The 23631-nt window shown below is 42.0% G+C and overlaps 1 protein-coding gene across 6 annotated transcripts in view; it reads left to right on the top strand.

Annotated features, from left to right (window-relative positions):
- C10orf143 (chromosome 10 open reading frame 143) overlaps positions 1-23631 on the top strand; it is a 75706-nt gene that overhangs the window by 24589 nt on the left and 27486 nt on the right. For 2 of the 6 annotated variants that reach the window (NM_001355042.2, XM_024448008.2), the window contains 3 exons: positions 6341-6505; positions 6614-6676; positions 21859-22346. In NM_001355042.2, the coding sequence (NP_001341971.1) occupies positions 6341-6505; positions 6614-6676; positions 21859-21888 (258 nt within the window). In that variant the 3' untranslated portion in view covers positions 21889-22346. Of the gene's footprint in view, positions 1-6340; positions 6506-6613; positions 6677-17633; positions 17967-20136; positions 21381-21858; positions 22347-23631 lie in introns of those variants that run through there. The other 4 variants (XM_024448009.2, XM_024448007.2, NR_034125.2 and 1 more) reach the window with 3 other exon arrangements.

Raw genomic sequence — 23631 nt, 5'->3', positions numbered from 1 at the left:
TTGCAGGGGAGGTGAGCTCGCATGGACCTGTGTGTGATGTGGTTGCTGGGGCTGTTGACCTAGTGTGGGTTTCTCCTGTGCAAACACAGTGGCAAGTGGTGATTCTACTCTGCTAGTTACATGGCATTGAAAGTATTTTGCGTGGTTTATTTTAAGCGGGATATTGGCAATTTAGAAACACTGGACTAGGGTGTCTAGGATATGAAGAGTCTGAAGAACATCTTTGAAATGGAATAGTGAGAGAGACTAGGGATATTTGGTTGGAGAGAACAAGCCTCCAAAGTGTCTGAGAATGATCATCAAATATCTGAATGTTTATCTCATACACAAGGGGTTTTGTTTATTTTATGTTGCTCAAAGGAGAATAATTAGAAACAGTGGGTTGAGGTTGTGAGAAGGCAATTTGGTTTAGATCAGTATTTCTCTCACATTAGGGATGCAAGATATTTTTTTTTCATTTTAAAAAACTTGTTATTTTGAAATAGTTTTAGACATACAGAAAGGTTGCAAAAACATAGTATAGAGTTCATATACATCCTTCACTTAAGCTTGTTAATGATCTTAGTATAGTTAGCATGCCATGAAATTAATGTTGGTGTAGTACTGTTAACTATAGACCTTATTCCATTTTACCAGTTTTTCCTCTAATATCCTTTTTCTGTTGCAAGATCTAACCCAGGATCCCACATTGCATTTAGTTATTGTGTTTCCTTCCTCTCTTCCAATCTGTGACACTTTGACAGTCTTTTAGGACCTCGACACTTAGTGATTATTGGTTAGTTATTTTGTTGTCCCACATTTTCTTATGATTAGAGTCAGGGTGCGCATTTTTGGCATGAGTACTGCAGAAGTGATGTTGTGCCATCTTGGTACGTTGTACGGAGGAGGGTTCATGGTATTGTGTCCCATTACTGCTGTTGTTAACCTTGTCACTTGATTACGATGGTTTTATCCACGGTAAAGTTACTATTTTTCTCTTTACAATTAATACGAATCTTGGGGAAGATAGTTTGAGGCTGTGCAAACATCCAGTTTCTCCTTAAACTTTTGCCTCCTAATTTTAGCATCTATTATTAGATCTTGCCTGCAATAATTTTTACTGTGGTATTTACTTAATGTATTTCCTTCTTTCCTTTTGCATTTGTTAATTAGAATTCAACTGTAAGGAAGTCCTTTCCCTTTTCAGCTATTTATTTACTCAATTATTTTTGATATGGGTAGACTAATAGGCATTTACTTTATTCTGTGGATTATCCAGTGCTGTTTTTTATTTATTTTATTGCTTAAATCATTCCAGCTTTGGCCAACAGGAAGTCCTTCAGGTGTATGCCTTTGTCTTTTTGACATGCCCTCATTTTACAAGAACTTTCTAAGTTTTTGGCCTATGAAGTGTTTGAGGCTCATCTTGTATTTTCCCTACTCCTTCCCTGAATCAGCTGCTTCCCATGGAGTCCAGATTCCTTTTAAGGGAAAATGGTATTTCGAAACCAATTTCTAGGTGATAAGTGTAATCTTGCTACTAGGATGCCACTGTCCTTAGTGGACACAGCTAGGATATATATATGTATGTGTGTGTGTGTGTGTGTGTGTATCACCTGCACACACAGTAACTCACACATACATATCTTTATATATTTCTATATCTCTGTCTGGATATGTATTAAAAATTCTAATGCAACACCACTGGGTTCATTGTAGCCTCTCCCTTTTCTGTATTTGTAGCTTATTTCTTAAACAGTGAGAAACTTTGCTCTTGTTATTTACAGTGTATTTACTTATTTATCCAATGCCAATAAAGTAATTTCAAAAATTGCTAACCCTGTAATAAACACATTTACTAGCTAGAGTACAGGATTTCTATACAGTGCTTTTTGTCGTCTTTATTTAGCGTTTGAGTTTCTAGTCAAAATAGTTTTTTTTTTCTTTTTGAGATGGAGTCTTGCTCTGTTGCACAGGTTGGAGTGCAGTGGTGCAATCTTGGCTCACTGCAACCTCCACCTCCCGTGTTCAAGTGATTCTCCTGCCTCAGCCTCCCAAGTAGCTGGGACTACAGGTGCCTGCCACCACGCCTGGCTAATTTTTTTTTTGTATTTTTAGTAGAGATGGGGTTTTACCATATTGGCCAGGCTAGTCTCAAATTCCTGACCTTGTGATCTGCCCACCTTGGCCTCCCAAAGTGCTGGGATTGCAGGCATGAGCCACCATGCCTGGCCCAAAATAGTATTTTTAAAAGTTATTTGGGGTAGTTCTTTTCAGTGTGGCTATGTTACTTATTTGTAATGTAGTTAGGTTCATTATTTTTGTATTCCACTTGGGTTCCTCTCCCCCTATGTCTTGGTTTACTTACATTTTTCCCTCACTTTTTGGCATGTGAAATGTTACTCTGGTGCTTTAATGCAGAGCTCTACACTCCCTCTTCATTTCTGTTCCCATGCCACCCTGTTCCCCAGCCCTTTCCTATCCACTCTCTGTAGGAAAGCAGTCTCTTTCATTTCTCAAATATCCTTCCTGTATTTCTTTTGCAGAAATGAGCAGATAGTGTCCATTTTCTTATAACCCCTTCTTTCTTACACAAAGGATAGCATATTATAGATACTCTTTTGCACTTTGTTGTTTTCACTTAACAATGTATTCTGGAAATCACTCTAGACCAGTTCATGGAAATCTTCCTCTTCCTTTTCTCAGTTGCCTAGTACTTCGTTGCTTGGATGTACCATAGTTTATCCAACCACTCTCCAGTGTAGGGGCATTTAGGTTGTTTCCAATATATTGCACTATTGAATAACTGTGCAAATGTGCTTTTTTCCCATATCGTTGGAGGTGTATGTTTTGGGTAGATTCTAGAGTTGTAATTGCTGGGTTAAAAAATGTGCATATAGCTTTGTATTGCCAAATTTCCCTGCAAGAATTTGCATTCTCACCAGCAAAGCAGGAGGTGCCTGTTTTCCTGCAGCCTCACCAACAGGGGCTACACCACATTCTACAATTTTTGCCATTCTGATGATAAATGATATCTTGATGTTGACTTAATTTGTATTTCTTTAAATATGAGTGCATTTGAACACTTTTTTTCATGTTTGAGGACCATTTTAATAGCTTTTTTAAATTGTTTATGTCTTTTCTCCATTTATCTTTCAGGTTTTTGGTCCTTTTTTGCTCAGCTTTTGTAACAGTTTCTTATATTCAGGTTATTCACCCTTTTTCTGTGGTATATATTGCAAACATTTTTCTTCCCCTTTTATCAGTTATCTTTTGATGTTGTTTAGGATTTTTTTGTTTGTTTGGCCTTACAGAAGTTTTTATTTTCATATAGTCAAACTTGTCAATCTTGATTTTATTGCCTCTGTATTTTGAATCATAGTTAGAAAATCTTTCCCTACACCAAGATTAGAGAATTCACTTGTATTTTCTCCTAGGAATTGCATAGTTCTTTATAATTAGATCTTTTGCATTCAGGTCCCTAATGCATCTGGTTTGGTTTTGTATGTGGTTGTATTAGTCTGTTTTCACGCTGCTGATAAAGACATACTGGAGACTGGGTAATTTATAAAGAAAAAGAAGTTTAATGGACTCAAAGTTCTGTGTGCCTGGGGAGGCCTCACAATCATTGCAGAAGGTGAATGGCACGTCTTACGTGGCAGCAGGCATGAGAGAGAATGAGAACCAAGCAAAAGGGAAGCCCCTTATAAAACATCAGATCTCGTGAGACTTATTCACTAACACGAGGACCGTGTAGGGGAACCGCCCCCATGATTCAATTATCCCCCACTGGGTCCCTCCCACAACATGTGGGAATTATAGGAGCTACAATTCAAGATGAGATTGGTAGGGACACAGCCAAACCATGTCATGGTGTGAGGTGCAGATCTAAATTTCTTTTCTCCAAATGGCTCCAAGTTGTCCTGGGACCGTATATTAAAAAGTCCATCCTGCTGGGCACAGTGGCTCATACCTATAATCCCAGCACTTTGGGAAGCCAAGAAGGGAGGATTGCTTGAGGCCAGGAGTGTGAGACCAGCCTGGTCAACATAGTGAGACCTCATCTCTAAAAAAAAAAAGAAGATCATATATGTATGTATAAAAAGTCCATCCTTATCACAGTGATTTGAAGCCAAACTTTCATATATATTTTGATTTATATCTGGACTTTTAATGCTACCACACTGGTCTGTTTGTCTCCTTGTGTGCCACTGTGTTTAATTATGGAGTGTCTATGGTTTGTTTTCGTGTCCAGGAGTTGTTTTATTTTTTCCTTCAGGGTTTTCCTGGCTCTTCTTGCATATTTGTTTTTCATTGTGACCGTTAGTATCAACTAGTATAACTCTATAAAATAGTTTACTGGGATTTTTACTGGGATTATATTGAATTTACAAATTAATTTTTAGGGAGAACTGTCATCTTTATAATGTTGGGTTATCCTATCCAAGAGTTGAATTTTTCTCTGATTACTGCTTTAAATGTATTTCATGGATTCTGATATGTAGTGTTTTCATTGTAATTTTTTTTTAAATTCTTTCCTCTCAGTTGGTGACCTAAGAAATAATAAGACTCTTAAATTTCCAGGTGGAAGTGCCTTTCTGTTTTTTTGTTTTTGTTAATAATTGATAGTTTATTGCATTATAATCAGAAAGTATTGGCTACATTTCTACCCTATAGAAATCATTGTTTTTTCCTTTAATGCCATCAGTTGTAACTGTGCTGTGAGTTCTTGAGAGGAATGTGTATACTCTATTATCAGGGTACAGAGTTCAATATATATGTCCATAAGGTCAACCTTGGTTGATTATGTTGTTTAAATCTATCTCCTTACTTGTTTTCTGTGTACTTGCTCTGCCTTGTACTGAGAATGGTGTATGAAACCTCCTGTTATTAGTATGTTTCTAACCGTGTTTGCTCACATCTCCTGTAGTCTTTGTTTGATAAAGGTTATGGTTGTATTATTCGGCTCATAGGTGTTCATGAGCATTATGTCTTCACTGTGAACTGTGGCTTTTAGCATTAAAAAAAAAGTCCTTGGTTGTATTTAACACTTTGGGCTTATGTTCTATGTGATCTGCTCCTGCTCTCTTTTTGTTTTTATTTCTCTATTATACCTTGGTCCATCCTTTTTATTTTTAGCCTTTCAGAATCACTTGATTTTAAGTACATCTGTATAGTTGGGTCTTGTTCTTTTAAAATTTTGGATGTAGAAGGATTTGTATTTTCTAGTGATTATTTGTATTTAAACCGATTTAATATCCTTAGGTCCCCTGTTTTATTATTTAACCCTTTATTGTCTGATTCTCAGTTTTTTCAGCATCAGTTAATACTCACCTATTGCTTATATGATAATGAACTATACAGTAATGAGAATTCTCCTCTCTTCCTTTTCCCTCATCTCCCATTTTTAATGCATCATTTCTAGTCTGTCATAAGGTTTCTATATTGTGTAGATGCATTAAGTGAAAAAGTCCATTAATAATATATTAAATAATAGTAGTATGGATAATAAACACATTTTGCAAAAGTGATAAAGGTGGTTTGCAAGTGACTGCAGAGGTTGGGGAGATGCCAGTGTACCATGAAGTGTGTTCTGACATCAGGGCTGTCCAGCAGCGGGGCCTCTTGGGCTGGCTGCCAGGGCTCCTGGGGTGGATTTCTCGCCCTGGGCCAGGGTGGCCTCCATGACTGTTTACAGAGGTCCTCCTGCCTCTGAAACTCTGTGTCAGTTACAACATTGTTACCCTAAAAATACACAAAGTCTTGGGACTTTCAAACTGAGTACTTTTTTTCTTTAGCATTACAGGATTCCTTTTGTAATTATTTTCTTTAGTTCACATAGTAGTAAAAACCAAATGCTAACTTTCCCAAAGGTTATCAGTTATGGACTGTGTATGCAACCTTTGTAAATAAAATTAATTTGCTCTTCAGTGCCAGTGAGACACAGAAGTAGTCACATGTGAATTATTCATATTGTATTAAGAAAGTATGTAACTTGATACTAAGCAAAAGCATATAACTAGTTTCTTGAACAAAATTTATAGGTTTTGCACATTTTCAATATCAATAAACCAGTCACCATAGTTTATTACAAGAGTTTCAGCCAAAATTATTTGAAATGACTGTTTTAAATGTATAAAGCTAAGTAAATATCAGGCAATGCAAGAAATAATGAGGTTAAATGTAATGGATGATTGTTATTCTGAAAAGATAAAGTTTAAAGTCATCTCCTCAAATGCCCTATAAAGTTTTCCAGCTCCACAGGGGTCTGTATTTGCAGCTGAAGTTTTCTGAAAGCAAATTCAATTAGAGTGTTGTGTGCTTTATGAGACCATCTAAAGTAAAATTTTGTTTGTTTCAGAAACGGGTATGCAGGAGATTAGAAGCCAGTGGGCATGAGCGTGGCTGCCACCAGGTGAATGCCTGTGCCCTGGCGTCCTGGGGCCCAGAGGACCGGGAGCTTCCATCAAGAGGCTGCCTCCCAGCACCAAGGCCAGAGAGTGGCCAGGGGAGGCTAAGTACAGGGGTATGTTCCTCTTCCCACCAAACTACTTGTGAGCATGTTGAAATATTTTAATAGAAAGTGTAAATAATCATTGTTCTGATATATCTGCAACTGTGATTTGTTAACTAGATTTCTCAGAATGGTGGAAGGAGCTCAGCCCAGCCTTGCCCAAGATGTATTGCAGGGGAATCTGTAAGTGCATTAACCTTCTTGCTGTGACATAAAAGATAGACTTCTTCTTAAATATTAGATCCATAAAACAAAGTTAATAAAAACTGCAATTATGTTTCTGAAGAATGAGGAACATAAATAAAAAGGTGAAAATTGATTTAAGCTTTTCTTAGCATTCTATCGGTGTACAAACTAATTTGTGTCCAGCTTCAGATTGGAAATATAAATTGCAAATACATTTAAAATTCCTTCTAAAAAACAGGGTTTAGGAAAGGGACCAGGCCACTGGATTTGGTTAAAATAGAGAATCATTTAAGGACATCTTGGAGAAAAGATCTTTCTCATTTAATTTTCCAAATAGCAATCAACATTGCTTTTTTCTTTTCCCTGTTTATGCTTTTCTTGCATGTTTCTATCATAAACTTCACATAAATCACAGATTTCAGAAGCAAACACAGTGTTTACACCATTAATTCAAAGTAAAGGGAGGTCAGAAACTGCCAGAGTCAGATTCTCAGTCTCTTCTACTGGGCAGAATATCATAAAGTATATATTAGCATAATAATACCTTTGTTATTAATTTTGAACTTACTCCAAGAACAAGTTAATATGTCTTTGATAACCTCTATAATTCTTGGGTTTCTTTAATTTTACATTTGGAATCTTAATATTGCAATAAAATAGAATTATATTTAAATTCCACCTAGAAACCAGGAATTTGTGCGTGTGTATATGTGTATTTCTGAGATTGCCCCCTAAAGATCTTTAGAGAAATGTATTGCTGTTTTTGATAAGCAAAAGATTGAGTCAATAAATTATGGAGATCCTCAATTGACATACTGTAAGCTACTGTGTTTTACGATGATAAGCACTGATTTTGTTTCAAACGGAGACCTGAAACCATGACAGCCATCACCGTGTCTGATGACAGGGTGAACCTCTAATTATCTGAAGTCCTTAGACAAATAGGAAAACAAAGTTTAGTATGTAACTCATTCCATGAAGGTATACTTTGCTACTTTTTGTACTCTCTTTAGAAAAATTTTCATAGGTTATGTTGCATTCTATGGTGTAATTCTGAACAATGTTGAAATTAAAGATCCAGCAACTTGAATTTAGTATGCTTATGTTGATTCATGTAACTGTTAAACATACCCTAGAATACAAACGAATAATGCTTACTTTGAGAACTATGCCTCCATTGGGGTTGCATTCCTTGTTTGCCGATGACTGACCGGTGCCTTCTTTGTCCCCACCCCATTTCCATGGAATGTATCTTTCACATCCCCCCATCTGTTGGAAGCAAACACTTGGAATGTAGTACAGATTCTTACTGCTTTGAGAGCTTGTGTTCTGGCATGAATGGCTTAAAGAAAAAAAAAATTTAGTTCAAGCAACTGATTGGATCATTTTGGCTAATATTCTGTTTGAACAACAGTACCTATTTGATTAGGGTTTTTCCTTTCTTTGTAATTCCCCAAGCTTGCCTCTGTTATGTTTCGTAGGAAATGAATCTATGAGCAGAAAACCTTCATTGATATGTAAATATCATTTTTTTGTTAATACTCAATATTCTTTTCATCTAAATTTCAGAAACTGACTTTAAAAAATCAGTTTCCTTTTATTTGTAGTTATTCTCAATAAAATTTCACCCAGGCTTGGGCGTTTTAATATTTACACCCACTACTTCTGAAAGTCTAATGTAAATAAAGATTGAAATGTGAATTTGAAAAGTCACACCTCTTGATATTTGAACAGACTATAGCTGCATATATCTTCTTCTTCTAATAATATGGCTAGTTTCTCTCCTAAGCTTTTAAAATAATAAGACACTATTTTTGTATTATAAAACATCAAAAGGTTCAGTGTTAAATAAAAAGCAAATAGTATTTTTAGAGATGCAAGATCCCTGGGAGTCGTGCTTAACAATAAATCACCAATGGGGCACAATTCCAAATTTCAGAAGACTTTATTAAACTTGCAGTTCCATTCACAAATGCCTGCTTACACGTGGGCCTGCCCACTCTCCCATGATGCCCGTAGGCAGCTCAGAATGGTTCTCTTGGTCAGAGAGAAGCCAAGGTGATGTGAGGGGTAGTTTGTGTGGAATTCCTAATGGGAAACTTACATGTGATTCTCAGTTTATTTGGTGGCTGTTCTCCAGTAAGCTCCCTTGCATCCTGAATTCTCTAGTGTATTTTTGACCTTCGTAGGATGTCAGCTAATCTGATCTGTTCTGCTCTGAATTCTCAGTATAGCCGTCTGAGCTTGGTGGTCCTTCTGTTCCTAAGCTTTTCCTTATGTTTATGATTGAGTTGTTTCTCACACATACAGGGTTTTGACATTTTCTCATATGCAAGGACTTCCTCGGTAGACCTCTTCAACCTCATTTTCCAAGTTTGCATTTCGGTCTATTTCTGTTGACTCATTCTGGCGTATTGTAACCATTGTTACAATGGTTACTATTTCAGGAGTGACTGAGGTGGTTTCTTATAGTAATTACTGTTAGGGTTTATCTCCTGCTGTACATTATTATTTAGGACCGTCACCTCGTAGCCCTGAATCACCCTGCTCATGTTACTGATGATCGAAATGAATGTGGTGGGACCCAGTCTTGCAGCATCAGGGCGTCCGCTCCTGCCCAGGGTCGGGCTGCTTGCTCTCCCTGTCATGTGCTGTCTGGGGCTGCAAGTCTCGTAGAGGATGATCGCCATGGCTAGGAGGCTTCCTTTCCTGCCACCAATGGCTCCCATGCTGGACAGTCACCTAGGCTGCAGGCTTCCATTCCCGGATCGCGCGGCTTGCGTGTGCACAGGCCACACGGTAACCAAGTGTGAAATGGAAATGAAGCTGCTCCTTGCAAATTCAGAGCAATTAAATGAAACCTTAGGGGTCTGCCAGAGGTCTCCAAAATAATCAAAAGAAGGTACATGAAAAGGGGAGGAAGGCTTATAAGGCAGAGAACTGTAGAAAGGATTTAGGATATTGGTTGAGGGGAGATATGATGATATTTCCTCAGCACCGTGTTTTCCTAGTGGTCTCTGGTCTCTGACGTTTTGTAGCCTCTCAGTGCTGGAATCCTCTGGAGAAGGGGCCACCCTCAGATCTTACTGGGTCACTGGTCAGCCTGTTGCCTGTTTTTTTCTCAGCTCCGACCTCCTTTGTCTGCCCCTCCTCTGTGTTGTGGAGACTGTTTCCCAGACTCCTTTGCTTCTGACTTCTGGGAGAATCCAGCCAACGTGAGGCATTGGTGGGACACAGGAATGTGGGGGAGAAGGAGGAGGAGGCCAGAGCATTTCTCTCTCTCTCTAGCCCTCCCGCAGTACATAGCTCCTGCAGAGTAGTCCCTCTGGGCCCATCTCTTGCGAGGTCCACCTCCTCCTCCCTTTGTCCTCCTGGTGAGTGTTTGGCTCCTGTAGTAGTCCATTTTCACATCGCTATAAAGAACTACCTGGTGCCTGTAATTCCAGCTTGGGAGAATGAGGCAGGAAAATCGCTTGAACCTGGGAGGTGGAGGTTGCATTGAGCCAAGATTGCGCCATTGCACTCCAGCCTGAGTGACAGAATGAGACTCCATCATTTCCAAAAAAAAAAACAAACAAACAAACAAAAAACACACACATACACACACAAAAACTACCTGAGACTGGATAATTTATAAAGAAAAGAGATCTAGTTGACTCACAGTTCCACAGGCTGTACAGGAAGCATGGCTGGGAGGCCTCAGGAAACTTACAATCCTGGTGGAAGGTGAAGGGGAAGCAAGCATGCCTTACCATGGCAGCAGGAGAGAGAGAGAGCGCCAGAGGGGAAGTGCTATGCACTTTCAAACAACCAGATCTCATGAGAACTCACTATCACGAGAACAGCAAGGGGAAGTCCGCCCCCATGATCCAGTCACCTCCCACCAGCTCCCTTCCAACATGTGTGGAGTATAATTCCAGATGAGATTTGGGTGGGGACACAGAGCCGAACCATATCAGCTCCCCCGTTTGGCTTCTCATCTCTTCCATCATTTGTGTAGCCAAATCTTGTTACAGTCCCTCTGTTTGAAATATACCTAGATTGGTTTCTGTTTTCTTACCAGCGCTAATCAGCTAATGAATGGACAGATTCTCCTGGGGAGGAAAGTTGCTGTTTCTAACAGAGGTCTCCGGGCCTGTATTGTCCCCTGCAAGGGCTCAGTCAGTAGTCCGCAAGCTTGGCACTCCAGAGTGCTGGCAGGGCTGATCCTGGTGATAAGCCACATGAGTCCCGAGAGCCTGGACATGAAAGTTAAAAATACAGTCAGGCCCTTCAATGTTGCCCATCGCTAATGCTCCTTCGCTGCCTTTTATCTGTGGTTATTGGTTTTTATTACTCAAACGGGTAGGGAGTTACCACTGAAAAGCCAGCATGCAAAACATGGTGTTTCCTGGTGCCATGGAGTCTCCGCTCCCCACGTTGATTCTGGATACCAGCATTGTCATTAGCCTTATCTTTTTTTCTTTTTTTTTTCATTGAGGGCAAATAGCAAAGGAGCAGTCTTAATAAGCCTCCGTATTATTCACTTTTTGACATTGAAATCTATTGCCTGACAACATTTGTGTGTGTGGTATATATGGTGTGTGTGCATGTGTGTGTCTGTGTACATATGTAGTGTGTGTGCATGTCTGTGTGTGTGGAGTCAGCCAACGTAGGAGTAGAAATTGAGGGCAGGGGAAGGGAGGTGTTTGGTCCAAACCTATTGTTTTGGTTCAGTTTTCCCTTGTAGGGACACCAGGAGGAGCCAAAGTATGATTATTCTGATTCTAAATGGATGCATTTTTTCTTTGTATTTCTTTTTATCTCCAAATGGGTTACCTTTAAAGTATTTCTGTTTATTTTGTTTACATATTTGTACATTATTGGTCATTGCTTTCTACACCTACATCATCTATAAATACTGCACTAGAACAGGAAGCCTTGGAACCCAGTGATCTCTGCCCTCCTCTGGTGCCTGCAGTGACGGCTGAGAACACTGCCTGTGCTTGCTAGGGCGGGTCCGAGTGTCAAGCTGGGGACGGGACCAAAGATGGAAATGTAACGTTCTGATATCGATGAACAGAGATCGATGCGCAGTGCCCTGCTCTTTGTGTCCTGTCTCGGCCACAGCTGATAGCAAGCATCCTTGTCAGTTCTTTCTTCTTCTGTCCTGAGAGAAGAAAACACAATCATGGAGGGATCAACGGGAACTTCATTGATCATTCTGTAAGAATCAAGTTGTGCTCCATGCATTTCTACCCCCAGGTTTGTCAAGGATCCTGGAGTTCATTGGTCTAACCCTGTCAATTTACAGATAAGGAAAGTGAGGTCCCCAGGGGCTAAGCCATTGGACTGCCATGCACCGTGGTTGATGGGGAGGCAGGGGCCTGAGCACTCTGCTTGGAGCCCCCTCTGCTTTCTGCTCTTTTTGGCTGATCAGTGTGTTTGCAGTCAGCATGCCGGCATCACTCCCCAAGACTGGCGGCCCAGCGTCAGGCTCGAACACCCTATGAGAACTGTGGCAGTGACAGTGCGGGTTTTTGTGGACTTCATCCCCGGACACAGTGAGAAGCTCTTGGCTAAGACACAGGGCTGATTTACTCACACTGTGAGGGAATAAGCTGGGAATGGAAGAGTCTGGCTGTGTCAGTATAGCCAAATACGAATCCCAGAATAGATGGGTATGAATAGACCACTGACAAAATCTTCAGATTTAGCATCTAGCAGTAGCTGACAGTGAGTACTTTCTCTGGAATATGGATATTGAAAAACTACCTTTAAAAAAATTTTTAACTGTTATTTAGGTCATTTTCTGGCACTGAAGGAGCTGAGGGGCTTCAGATGACTAGAAGAAAAAAGAAACAAGTTCAATTTAGACTTCCTACAAACATGTTAGATAAAACCAACACAGATGTGTCCCCCTCCTGCTGCAGAGACTCAAGGTAGACTCTGATAAAAAAAAAACACACAGCTGATCACGTAATAGGCGAAGAGAGAAAACAAAAGTAGTGCCGTTGGGACCAACACACTCTTTAGTGGCCGTTCCTGGGTCTGGGTACTTGTTGGGTTTGGTCCTAGATTGCACCCAGGGCTGGGAACTGGAATGCTCACGTCCAGAGATAGATGTGGTTTTGGCCTAACAAAGGTGTGGGAGCTAGAATTTGGATCCTTGCATAAAGTTTAGAGCCTGAAGATCTGATTGTACCCTAAAAGGGGACTGGAAATTACAATACCAGGCCATGCATGGGTATGGGCTCCAAGTTTATTTTATCTCAGTCATACAGGAACCAAAAGTAGAAGCCCTGCCATAAAAACAGTTGCAGCCCATTGAAGTCCTGAAGGCCTTGGGTGGCAGCAGGTGCAGAACTGTCCTGTAGGCATGCCTCCACCACCCAGTGTGTAGGAGATTTGGAGATAAAACAACCCCCACGGAGGATAAGATCACACTAGAAAAATAAGCACATAAACAAATCTACCACCATGGTGAGAAGAGGGGTCAAGAAATAAACAGTAGAATCAAAGTCTCTAACAATCTGAAATAATTGAAGAACCTGAAGGTGGATATAAAGTACGGGCACAACTCATTTTATTGCACTTCACTTTATTGTGCTTTGAAGGTACTGTGGTTTTTACACATTGAAGATTTGTGGCAACCTTGCATTGAACAAGTCTGTTTGGTGCCATTGTCCCAAAAGCATATCCTCATCTCATGCTTCTGTGTCAGCATTTTAAAACAACAAAGTATTTTTAAATTAAGGTGTGTACATATTTTTAGGCAGAATGTTGTTGCACACTTAATAGACTACAAGCATATTGTAAACAAAACTTGTATATGCACTGAGAAACCAAAAAATTTGTGTGACTCACTTTATTGCAGTGTTCTGCAACCAAGCCTGCCATGTCTCTGAAGTATCCTGTAGTTATTTTATAAAATGATTAAAGAAGAAATAGAGCCATAGTAAGAAAGGAAGACAGTTTGAAAAAAAATTGGAAGGTTTTTTTAAAAAGAACTAAAAGTGCATGATATGTTCATTGAAGTTTTTTTAAAAAGTCATCAGATTAGACACAGTTAAAGACAGAATTAGTGAATTAGAAGATAGAGCTGGATAAATCCCCCAAGCACAGCAAGAGAGATAAAAAGATGGATAGTATAAAAGTGTAATTAGGAGTCATAGAGGAAAGAATGAGAATGCCCATTAGGAAATCCAGAAGGAAGGACTTTAGAGAATGTTTGAGTAGAATAGTTGAAAAGATAATGGCTGAGAATTTTCCAGAATTGAAGAAAGGCATATGTGGTCAAACAATTTTGAAGTAGAATAACAAGCAAGGGAAATTATCCATCAGATATCAAGATATATTACAAAGCTGTGACCATTAAGACAATGTGTTAATTGGCCTAAGTGTAGACTAACCAATGAAATAAAATTGAGATCTTTAAACATGCATATATGGCAGTTTGAAGGCATTATAAATGAGATTTACATACACCTATAAATTGTGCCAGGGCAATTAGTTATCCATATATGAGGAAAGATAAAATTAGATCTCTGCCTCACACAAAATCAATTCTAGGAGGTGGGAGGTGGGGGTGGGAGTTAATAAGAACCTATATATGAAAGAAAAACCTTTAACATTGTTAGTAGAAAATATAGAATATGACGGCCAGGCGCGGTGGCTCATGCCTATAATCCCAGCACTTTGGGAGGCCAAGGTGGGCAGATCACCTGAGGTTGGGAGTTCAAGACCAGCCTGACCAACATGGAGAAACTGCATCTCTACTGCAAATAAAAAATTAGCCAGGCATGGTGCATGCCTGTAGTCCCAGCTACTCGGGAGGCTGAGGCAGGAGAATCTCTTGAATCCAGGAGGCAGAGGTTGCGGTGAGCCGAGATTGTGCCATTGCACTCCAGCCTGGGCAACAAGAGTGAAACTGTGTCTCAAAAAAAAAATATAGAATATAACTGTATATATTAAGACATGCTACATATCAGAATTCTTTCATCATTGTCTAAGAAAAGCTTTTTGCAGGAAAGATATTTACAATGCACAAAATATAAAGATGGGTTTCTTGAATAAATATGCAAATCAGTCCAGTAAATAAATGGGCAAAGTATATGACCTGGCAGTTCAGAGAAGAGGAAACCCAAAATAGCCAATAAATATAAATAGGTGTTCAACCTTACTAGTAATTTAAGGGCTTGCAAATTAAACCATCAAATTAGCAAAAATAAAAATGGTGCTATAACTGTGAGTGAGGTAGAGTGAAAGGATGTGTTCACTTCCTCAGAAGCCATGTACATGGGTAAAGCTTATGGTGGGCATTTCTGGTAAGCTAGAAGATATGGTCCTAGGTGTATACCCTAGTAGATGCCCAAGAAAGTGTATACAAAATATTTGTTGTATTTGGGAGGCTGAGGCAGGCAGATCACTTAAGGTCAGGAGTTTGAGACCAGCCTGGCCAATATGGTGAAACCTCATCTCTACTAAAAATACAAAAAACATTAGCTAGGCATGGTGGCGCATGCCTGTAGTCCCAGCTACTCAGGAGGCTGAGGCAAGAGAATCACTTGAGCCTGTGAGGTGGAAGTTGCAGTGAGCCAAGATCCCACCACTGCACTCCAGCCTGGGTGACGGAGCAAGACTCTGTCTCAAAACAAAACAAAACAAAATATTTGTTGTTGCACTGTTAGAGTAAGAAAAGCCAGAAACAACCTAAATGTTCATCAATAGAATGAATAAATGAATTGCAATAGATTTACTCAATGAAGTGTTACAGAGAGCAGTGAAAATGGATCAAATCAAATGGAGAAAAAAGGAAATTACAGAAGGATCTACGTAGAATGATACTATCTAGATACAATTTTAAGCATGGGAAACATTGATATATATCTACTAAAGGAATAAAAACATTTATGAGAGTGGTAAACAACTTCAAAATAAGGGCGTTATTTCTACTGAGTGGAAGGGCTCAGGGTGCAGTGTTTTGGTGATATCTAATGTTTTATCCCCTAAGTTTTGTGAGTCTTGGGTGTGATGTATCCACACATAGATAGGTCATCATGACACTGGAGGACATCAAAGGCAGAGAAACGTGTAGAGCTGCTAGAGAGAAATGACTGGCTAAGCATGAAGGGATGATAATTTGACAACAGATCTCTCATTAGTAGCAATAGATGCCAGAAGAGCTTGGAATGCATCTTTGAGCTGCTAAGGGGACTGCACTGTGACGTGCATGTGGACAGGCTGCACCAGGTCCGGGGGTGCGATGGCCACTGCAGTGGGGTTCCTCTCCCCACCCCAGAAAATTCAGTTACCAAAACTGACTCAAGAACAGAGAACAGAATCAGATCAGTAACAATGGAAGGATCTGGGAAGGTTATCAAAAAGCTCCCATCACAGGGATTTTACAGATTTTAAAAACCCTGTATGAAAGAACACATGGATGATTTAACATTAGAAAAATGACTGCATTGTCTGATAAAAGGGAAAATAGAGATCATCTGTTACATGCAGCAACAGCATACAGTCAGATGCGAATCCCATTCATGATATATATTTAAAAACTCCACAAACCAGAAATAGAAGGCTTTCTTCTGGTAAAAATTAAGGACGTGATACTTAGTGGAAGCATCTGTGTTGAAGAGAAAAGGACGAGGATGCTATTAGCACTTCTGCTCGGTATGCTAGGGCTCCTAGCTGGCATAATGTGATAAGAAAAAAAAAAAGAAACAATGGACATAAGAATTGGAAAGAGAAAAATCTAAATTGTTATTTCCAGATGGTATAATTATCTACATAGAATATCCAAGGCTGACCACAGTGACTCATGCTTATAATCCCAGCACTTTGGGAGGCTGAGACAGGAGGATTGCCTGAGCCCAGTAGTTGGAGGCTGCAGTGAGCTATGATTATGCCACTGTACTCCATCCCAGGCAGCAGGGTGAGACCCCATCTCTTAAAAAAAAAATTTTCCAGAAAATCTGCAGATAGACTAGTAGAACTAATATCCAGCAAGATTGTTGAATATAAGATGAACACACAAAAATAGATAGACTCTTACTTACTGGTAACAGTCAATTAGAAGAACAAAACTCCATTCACATGGTTGCAGCGTGAGGATGTAAGTTACTATCTAGTGTTCTGTATTTCATCAGCATTTCTTGTAAGGCAAGTCTTCTAGCGACAGATTTTCTGTTTTTGTTTATCTGGGGATGTCTTAATTTCTCTATCATTATAATTTCAATGTCGTTTGGTTTTGTTGGATATTGAGGAAAGGCATATGTGGCCACATGGTTTTGAAGTAGAGTAACAGGTGCTGACAGTCTTTCTTCTGGCACTTGGAGTATGTCATCTGGCTGCCTCTCACTCCATGATGTCTGATGAGAAATCAGCTGTTGGTATCACTGAGGCTCACTTGCACATAGTATGTCGCTTCTCCCTTTCTGTGTTCAAGATTCTTTGGTTCTAGATCACTTTGTTATGATGTGTTTAGGTGTGGATCCCTTTGGGTTCATGCTAGTGGAAGTTAATTGAGTTTCTTGTATATATAGATTAATGTTTTCAAATCAAATCTGCGAAGTCTTTGGCCATTATTTTAAAAATACTCTTTCTGCCCTTTCTCTGTGTCCTTTTCCTCTGAGACTCCCGCTTAGAGGTGTGTTGGGACACCTGATGGAGCTGCACAGGTGTCTTCGAAGCTCTGTTCATTTTTCTTCGCTTTTTTTTTCCTGTTCCTCAAACTGGATAATCTCAATTGATTTTGTGTTCACTAGTTCTTTCTTCTGCTTGCTCAAATCTGCTGTTGATCCCCGTTAATGAGTTTTTAATTTCACTTATACTTCTAAACTGTAGAACTTCTGTTTAGTTTATATGTATAAAATTCTCTCTTTATTGATAATTATCTATTTGGTGAGACATCATTCTGCTTTTCTTTAATTCTTAATCATAATCTTCTTTTTTTTTTTTTTTTTTTGAGATGGAGTTTTGCTCTCGTTGCCCACGCTGGAGTGCAATGGCATGATCTCAGCTCACTGCAACCTCCGCTTCCCAGGTTCAAGCGATTCTCCTGCCTCAGCCACCCAAGTAGTTGGGATTACAGGTGTGTGCCACCATGCCTGGCGACTTTTGTATTTTCAGTAGAGATGGGGTTTCACCTTGTTGATCAGGCTGGTCTCAAACTCCTGACCTCAAGTGATCCACCCACCTCGGCCTCCCAAAGTGCTGGGATTACAGGCGAGAGCCACCGTGCCCGGCCATGACCTTCTTTAGTTCTTTGACCATATTTAAAATGGCTGAGGTGAAGTCTCTGGTAAGTTCATGTCTGGGCTTTGTGTTCTGTTTGCCCTTCCAGGTCAGATCCACTGCCCACCTTTCCTGGCATCTGCACAGGAGGCCAGCCTGCATGGCTTACATCCAGGGGGTGCCGGGGGCACCTGGGCTCTCCCACTTCCCTTTGGGCTCAGCCGCTAGGGGGATTTGGGGCAGGCAACAGGAGGCTGGAGAACGAGGGCAGGGTATGTGGCCATGTCCCCTGGCCAGTGTCACTCAGCAGCATGTGTCATCTCCTCCTTCCAGGTTCTGGTAGCCGCTGCTGCCCTTTATCCCTTGGGTCTGGCCCCTGCACTGTCCCTCGCGGCTCCCAGGACAACTTTGTGACAAATCCTTTTGTAATAACCCCTTTGTGAGGTCTCCTGTTCGCCCATGTATCTGTTTCCTGTTGGGGCTATGACTGGTACAGAAGGGTGCACGCCCACTTTCAAGTGTTGACGCCTCCAAGAAGGAAGGGAGGAAGATGAGGCAAGGGTGTGACAGGTGTCCCTCGGCACAGGGCACAGCAGGTGCTCTAAAGACATTTCATCATACAAAGATGCATGCTGGTAAAGACGGATGATTGTCTTAGAGGTCCAAGCTTTTACTGTAGGCCTTTGTAGAATTCTCTTGAGAAGGGACAGTGTTTTGTGGTAGTAAAGACGAATATGCTGTTAAAGGAAGAAAAAATGACTCCTCTGGCAGATGGTAATGGCAGGAATCGTCAACATCTTTAACCCACAGAGGGCTGCTGTCATCCTGTCACACAGGTACTCGGGGAGAAGCAGAGAGCTAGCCACAGCCAGGGCTCTGCCCATTAAGGAAAAATGGCTTCAGCAAAAAGGGAAGGAGATGTGGGGTGCAGTTCTCTCCTCCCCCAGTCCACAGGGATGACTTGCAGCTAGATGTACCAGAGGTGAGGGCATCAATCTGGGTGTTTCACGTAATGGTCCCAGATGGAGTGAGGTGTGTCCCTGTTGGCCCTGCTGTCCTTCCGGCTCCACAGAGAGGTCATGGAGAGCCCAGCGAGGAAGGCTTCCAAAAAGGAAAGGGGGACGTTTTGAGGGAGTTCATGCGTGGTGGCAAACCCCACAAAGAAGCCGTTGCAGTGAGAGATGAAAGAAGGGCTGAGGCCACACACGTGTGCCCCAAGGGTGTGGAGGAGAAGGCGCTGGGCAGCAGGTGCAACCAGAAGCAGCTGGCCCTGGGCCCTTTTCATTCCAAGGTTAGAAGCAAATAAAAACTCCCTCTTCACAAACATCGTTCTCTTGCTCCGTGGAATTGTGTTTTACCAAAAGTGGAAAAGGGTTTTCCCATTATTGCTGATCAAATCACTTTTCAAGCCTGACCAAACAGGAGGCAAGGCATTTTAATTGTCTGCAGTAAGACTCACAGTCGAGGCACAATGAGCCTGATGCTCCTCGTCAGACCTGCCTCTGGTGGCTGGTGTGGGCCATCTGTGAGTCCCAGAGTCTGATGACTTGAGGTCCCACTGGCCCAGCCCCAGTCTAGATTGGGGTCAGTACGAGGCTTCTCTTTGGGTGTCACTGGGGGCTGCTTGCTTTGAGAGAGACAGAGACAAACTGGGACGTGTCAAGAAGAGAGAGTAGGATGATGCGGGGACTTGAGATCATGCCAGGGCAGAGGTTTAAATGAGCAATTTCGAAAGGTTCCTTTGTGTCTAAGAGAGAGTAGAATGGTGCGGGGGCTTGAGATCACACCGGGGCAAAAGGTCTAAAGAGCAATTTCTAAAGGTTCCTTTGTGTCTAAGATTCTGGGTCTTGGCCAGCTGCGTTGGTTCACACCTATAATCCCAAGACTTTGGGAGGCTAAGGCGAGTGGATCGCCTGAGGCCAGGAGTTCTAGACCAGCCTGGACAACATGATGAAACCCTGTCTCTACCAAAAAAAAAAAAAAAAAAATTAGCCAGGTGTGGCGGCAAGCACCTGCAGTCCCAGCTACTCAGGAGGCTGAGATGAGAGGATCTCTTGAGCCTAGGAGGCTGAGGCTGCAGTGAGCCATCATTGTGACACTGCACTCCAGCCTGGGTGACAGAGCCAGACCCTGTCTCAAAAAAAAAAAAAAAAAAAAAAATCCAGGTCTCAGTCCTCAAATTGATGTGGCTCTTTGTCCCCACGTTTTATCCTTTCTGTCTCAAACATGTCTTCCAGGTATACCCCTCCTTGAACAGAGCAGGGAAGGATGCGTCAGGAATAAGTCACCTCAGTGAATAGCTGTTTTTAAAAAAGAAATCATTGTGTTTTTCAAGTTCTGTGGTTGGTGATGACGAAATGAATTAAACAGCATTTCCCTGCAGTTCCCCTGTCTCTTCCCTAAGAGACGCCTGCTGCCTCCTGGGTCTGCGCACCCCACGGCACCTCCAAGTGAGCCTCCCAGGCTTCCACTGACTCTGCCCCTTCAGTGCACAGCCCAGAGCCGTGATTTGCCAGCTGGGCTCCTGCGTTCAGAGTCTCCCAACAGAACAGGTTCTTGTCCAGAGAAGTTCAGGAAATGCTACATACTTTCCCCTGCCTTTTAGAGACTTGATGTCCATTAGACTGTGAAAGACCTCGAGAATTGCATGAAGAAACTGGTTTCCAAAATGTCCTTTTGTAAAGGGATACCTGCTACACATGTGATTCTGGGAATATTCTGGGAAGCGCAGGCCTGTTGAGTAAATGCAGCACCTGTATTCACCATGGCATCCAGGGCCCTTCAAATCTCAGTGTTGCTTGACCTCCCAGACAGCTGCTCCCATCCCTGCCATGTGCGCCACAAGCCCCTGCTCCAGCCGCCACAGCTTCTCCGATCCTGGAACAGTCTGACCTTGTACTGTGCTTACTGCTTGAGGTATACCTTCCCACCTCCAAAGATTCTCTTGCTCCTTCGTGGCCCACCCGAGATTCCTGTCTTGTGTGAAGCCTTCTTCAGGCCCCTCACCAGGTAGGGTCACGTGCTGTCTTCCCTGGCTCCTGTAGCATTTCGTTCTGATCACTCGAAGGAGCCATCAGTATCTGACGTCAGTACTCTGCTGTCTGATAATCCCTCCAGGCAAGTTCAGAGTCTCTCCTGTCTGGTCCCTGTGGGTCAGGGCAGCCCCTGCCTTCCAGGAAGCAGGGACATCATCAAGAACTGGACTTCTTTGTTTCCCCACTGCCCAGCCTACCCCACCCTTCCTGGGCTGCAGCCAGCTCAGGAGCCTGTTGCCCTGATGGTGGAGTCCTTTCAGGACAGGGAGGCTGTGCCTGTCTCTGCCTGTGGGCCAGAGTGCCACGCTGCTATGTGCCAGGATATGTGGCCAAGTGTGACAGAGATTCCTAGATGCTGACGAGCCTCTCATTGCACAGTGGTACAGTGTCTGGCCAACTGTCTATCCCCAGCCATCTGGTTCTCCCAGTTACTTCTGCGGGTGAAGGTGAGGAGATGAGAGGCCTGCTCTAGGAAATGGGTTGGGGGCCGGAGGGGCCCTGGTGGGGATTGCCGTGAGCCTCTCTTACTCCCGGATGTCCCTGGTGAGAGGAGCCACTTTTGTGTTGCTTTTGTGCTGAATCCTGATTCAATATTTAGACATTTTTTTAAAAATTTATTTTATGAATATATGAATAGTATTTTCATTCTCTTGCTATTCCTCAAAGTACTATAGGAAAGAAGGGAAGTAACATTTATTGAAAGTCTTCTGTGTACCAGTCACTACTGGAAATGCTTTAAATATCTTAATTATAATGTAATATATATTAATATATCTATAAACAGATACCTCAGGAATTAAGTTATCACTTACAAGTAGTCATTTTAAATGTAGTGCTTTGTGTTGGCAAATGTATATATAGCCAAGGTGTATTAATTTGGCCAAGGTAAATTAATTCCCGCAATGTGCTGTTTTATCTTTGTAGGGACATTTTAGCCATACCAAGAATCATTAGAAGATGCAAGCTGGAAAAAAGAAGGTCCCAGTTTTGGTTTTGAACCCTTCATGTTGCAGCAAATGTGAATCTCCTACAGATGGGTTTGGGGACTTACCTGTTCAAATAGCAGCCCGGTGTCCTCTGTGGGTGGGGGGAGGTTTGTCTGTCCTTTCATTCTAGTAAATCCACCATCCTCTGCACGAGAGCCAGGAGAATCCACATCACTTCAAAAGAGCCCCCAAATCCTTACTACGTACTACAGCCTCCTTTCGAATGTTCCTGGTTGAGAGGGAGATCAATTGCATTATTTACAAGTCAAAAAATTTTGTATCAAACTTCCTATGAGCTTGGGCACTCATGGCCTATGGAGGCCCACCCAGACGCAGCCCCGCCATCATGCTTTTTCGTTGTTTTGTGGATGTACCCAGGGCTATTTACACACTCTTTCATTAAAAGGCTTATTTTTATATTTAAAATGTTCTAATCTTGGAGTGAATTTTACTAAATGCTAGTGTCCAATCTGTTCCCCAACTGAAGTTATCAGAGACAGAATCCCTTTTATATTCAAGTGGAAATTACTCATTTTCTCTTGGGTTTTCAATGTATCGTCTGACTGTGAGGCTGGCATTATTTTCTCTGGGTTTGAAAGCTTCCTGAGATGTCCTGTTTGTAAGCTCCTGTCCGCATCACGTTATCTGCAGGGAATGTGCTCCCTCCAGGGAGTGTCCTCGGCACTGATGTGGGAAGAGCCCCCTCTATAAGTCATCATGGCATTCGGTCATGGGAGAGTTCCATACGGGAAAGATGGAGCAGAGGAAGACAAGGTGTTGAAACCAGTACAGCACCACCTGGGATATGGATGATCCAGAATTACAGGACACGTCTTCATTAAGCCTGGGTAAGATCCCAGAGCTATGACTCGATCAAAAAATGCCAGTTCGTGCCAAACAACCAAAGCCGGGAAAGAGGGAGAAGGTATTGGCGTTTGTAGCCTTACGAAAGATCTTTATGAAGAGCTTTAGTTTGTTCTTCTCTTTTCCAAAATGAGATACACGTCTAATTTTTACGGGAAAAAAAGAAAACTCTTAGATGGACAGCATGTTCTTTTTTGTGTGTAAACTCTTCCTTCTCACCCTCGTTCATGGAGAGAGCAGGTGTCCACCCGGTGTCAGGTGGGTGTTTTGTAGCTGACGTGGCACGCGTCCCTCCAGCTGTTCATACGAAGCTGGCTTTTGTAGAGAACAGTCCCCGGGCATCCTCCTGCCCCAAGGAAAATGCCCCCGCTTCAGAGTCAGACAGACGTGAGTTCCCATCTCATCTCCACCGACCATCTCCACCTGACCTTGATGAGTCCTTAGACTTCTTGGAGCCTCTGGTTCCCATCTGTGTGGTGGGGAGGTTGCCCTTGGGGTTTGCCCTTAGCCCACAGTGTGACTCCTCAGTGTCAGTGCCCTCCCTCCTGGTACACAGCCCCTCCACCCCAAAGCAGGCCTTCGGTTCTGGAAAAGCAAAGCTCACAAAACCTGATGACCCAGGTGACAAGGACGAAAGGGATGAGGTGTAACTGGCCAGAATGTGGGTGTATTAGGGTTCTCTAGAGGGACAGAATAGGATAAGTGTATATGTGAAGGGGAGTTTATTAAGGAGTATTGACTTGCATGATCACAAGGTGAGGTCCCACAATAGGCCGTCTGCAAGCTGAGGAGCAAGGAAGGCAGCCTGAGTCCCAAAACCTCAAAAGTAGAGAAGTCGATAGTGCAT

This window comes from Homo sapiens, chromosome 10 (assembly GCF_000001405.40).
Source record: "Homo sapiens chromosome 10, GRCh38.p14 Primary Assembly".
NCBI classification, from domain to species: domain Eukaryota; kingdom Metazoa; phylum Chordata; class Mammalia; order Primates; family Hominidae; genus Homo; species Homo sapiens.
Note: the sequence above shows the minus strand (reverse complement) of the source record. Positions and strands in the feature narration are given on the sequence as shown.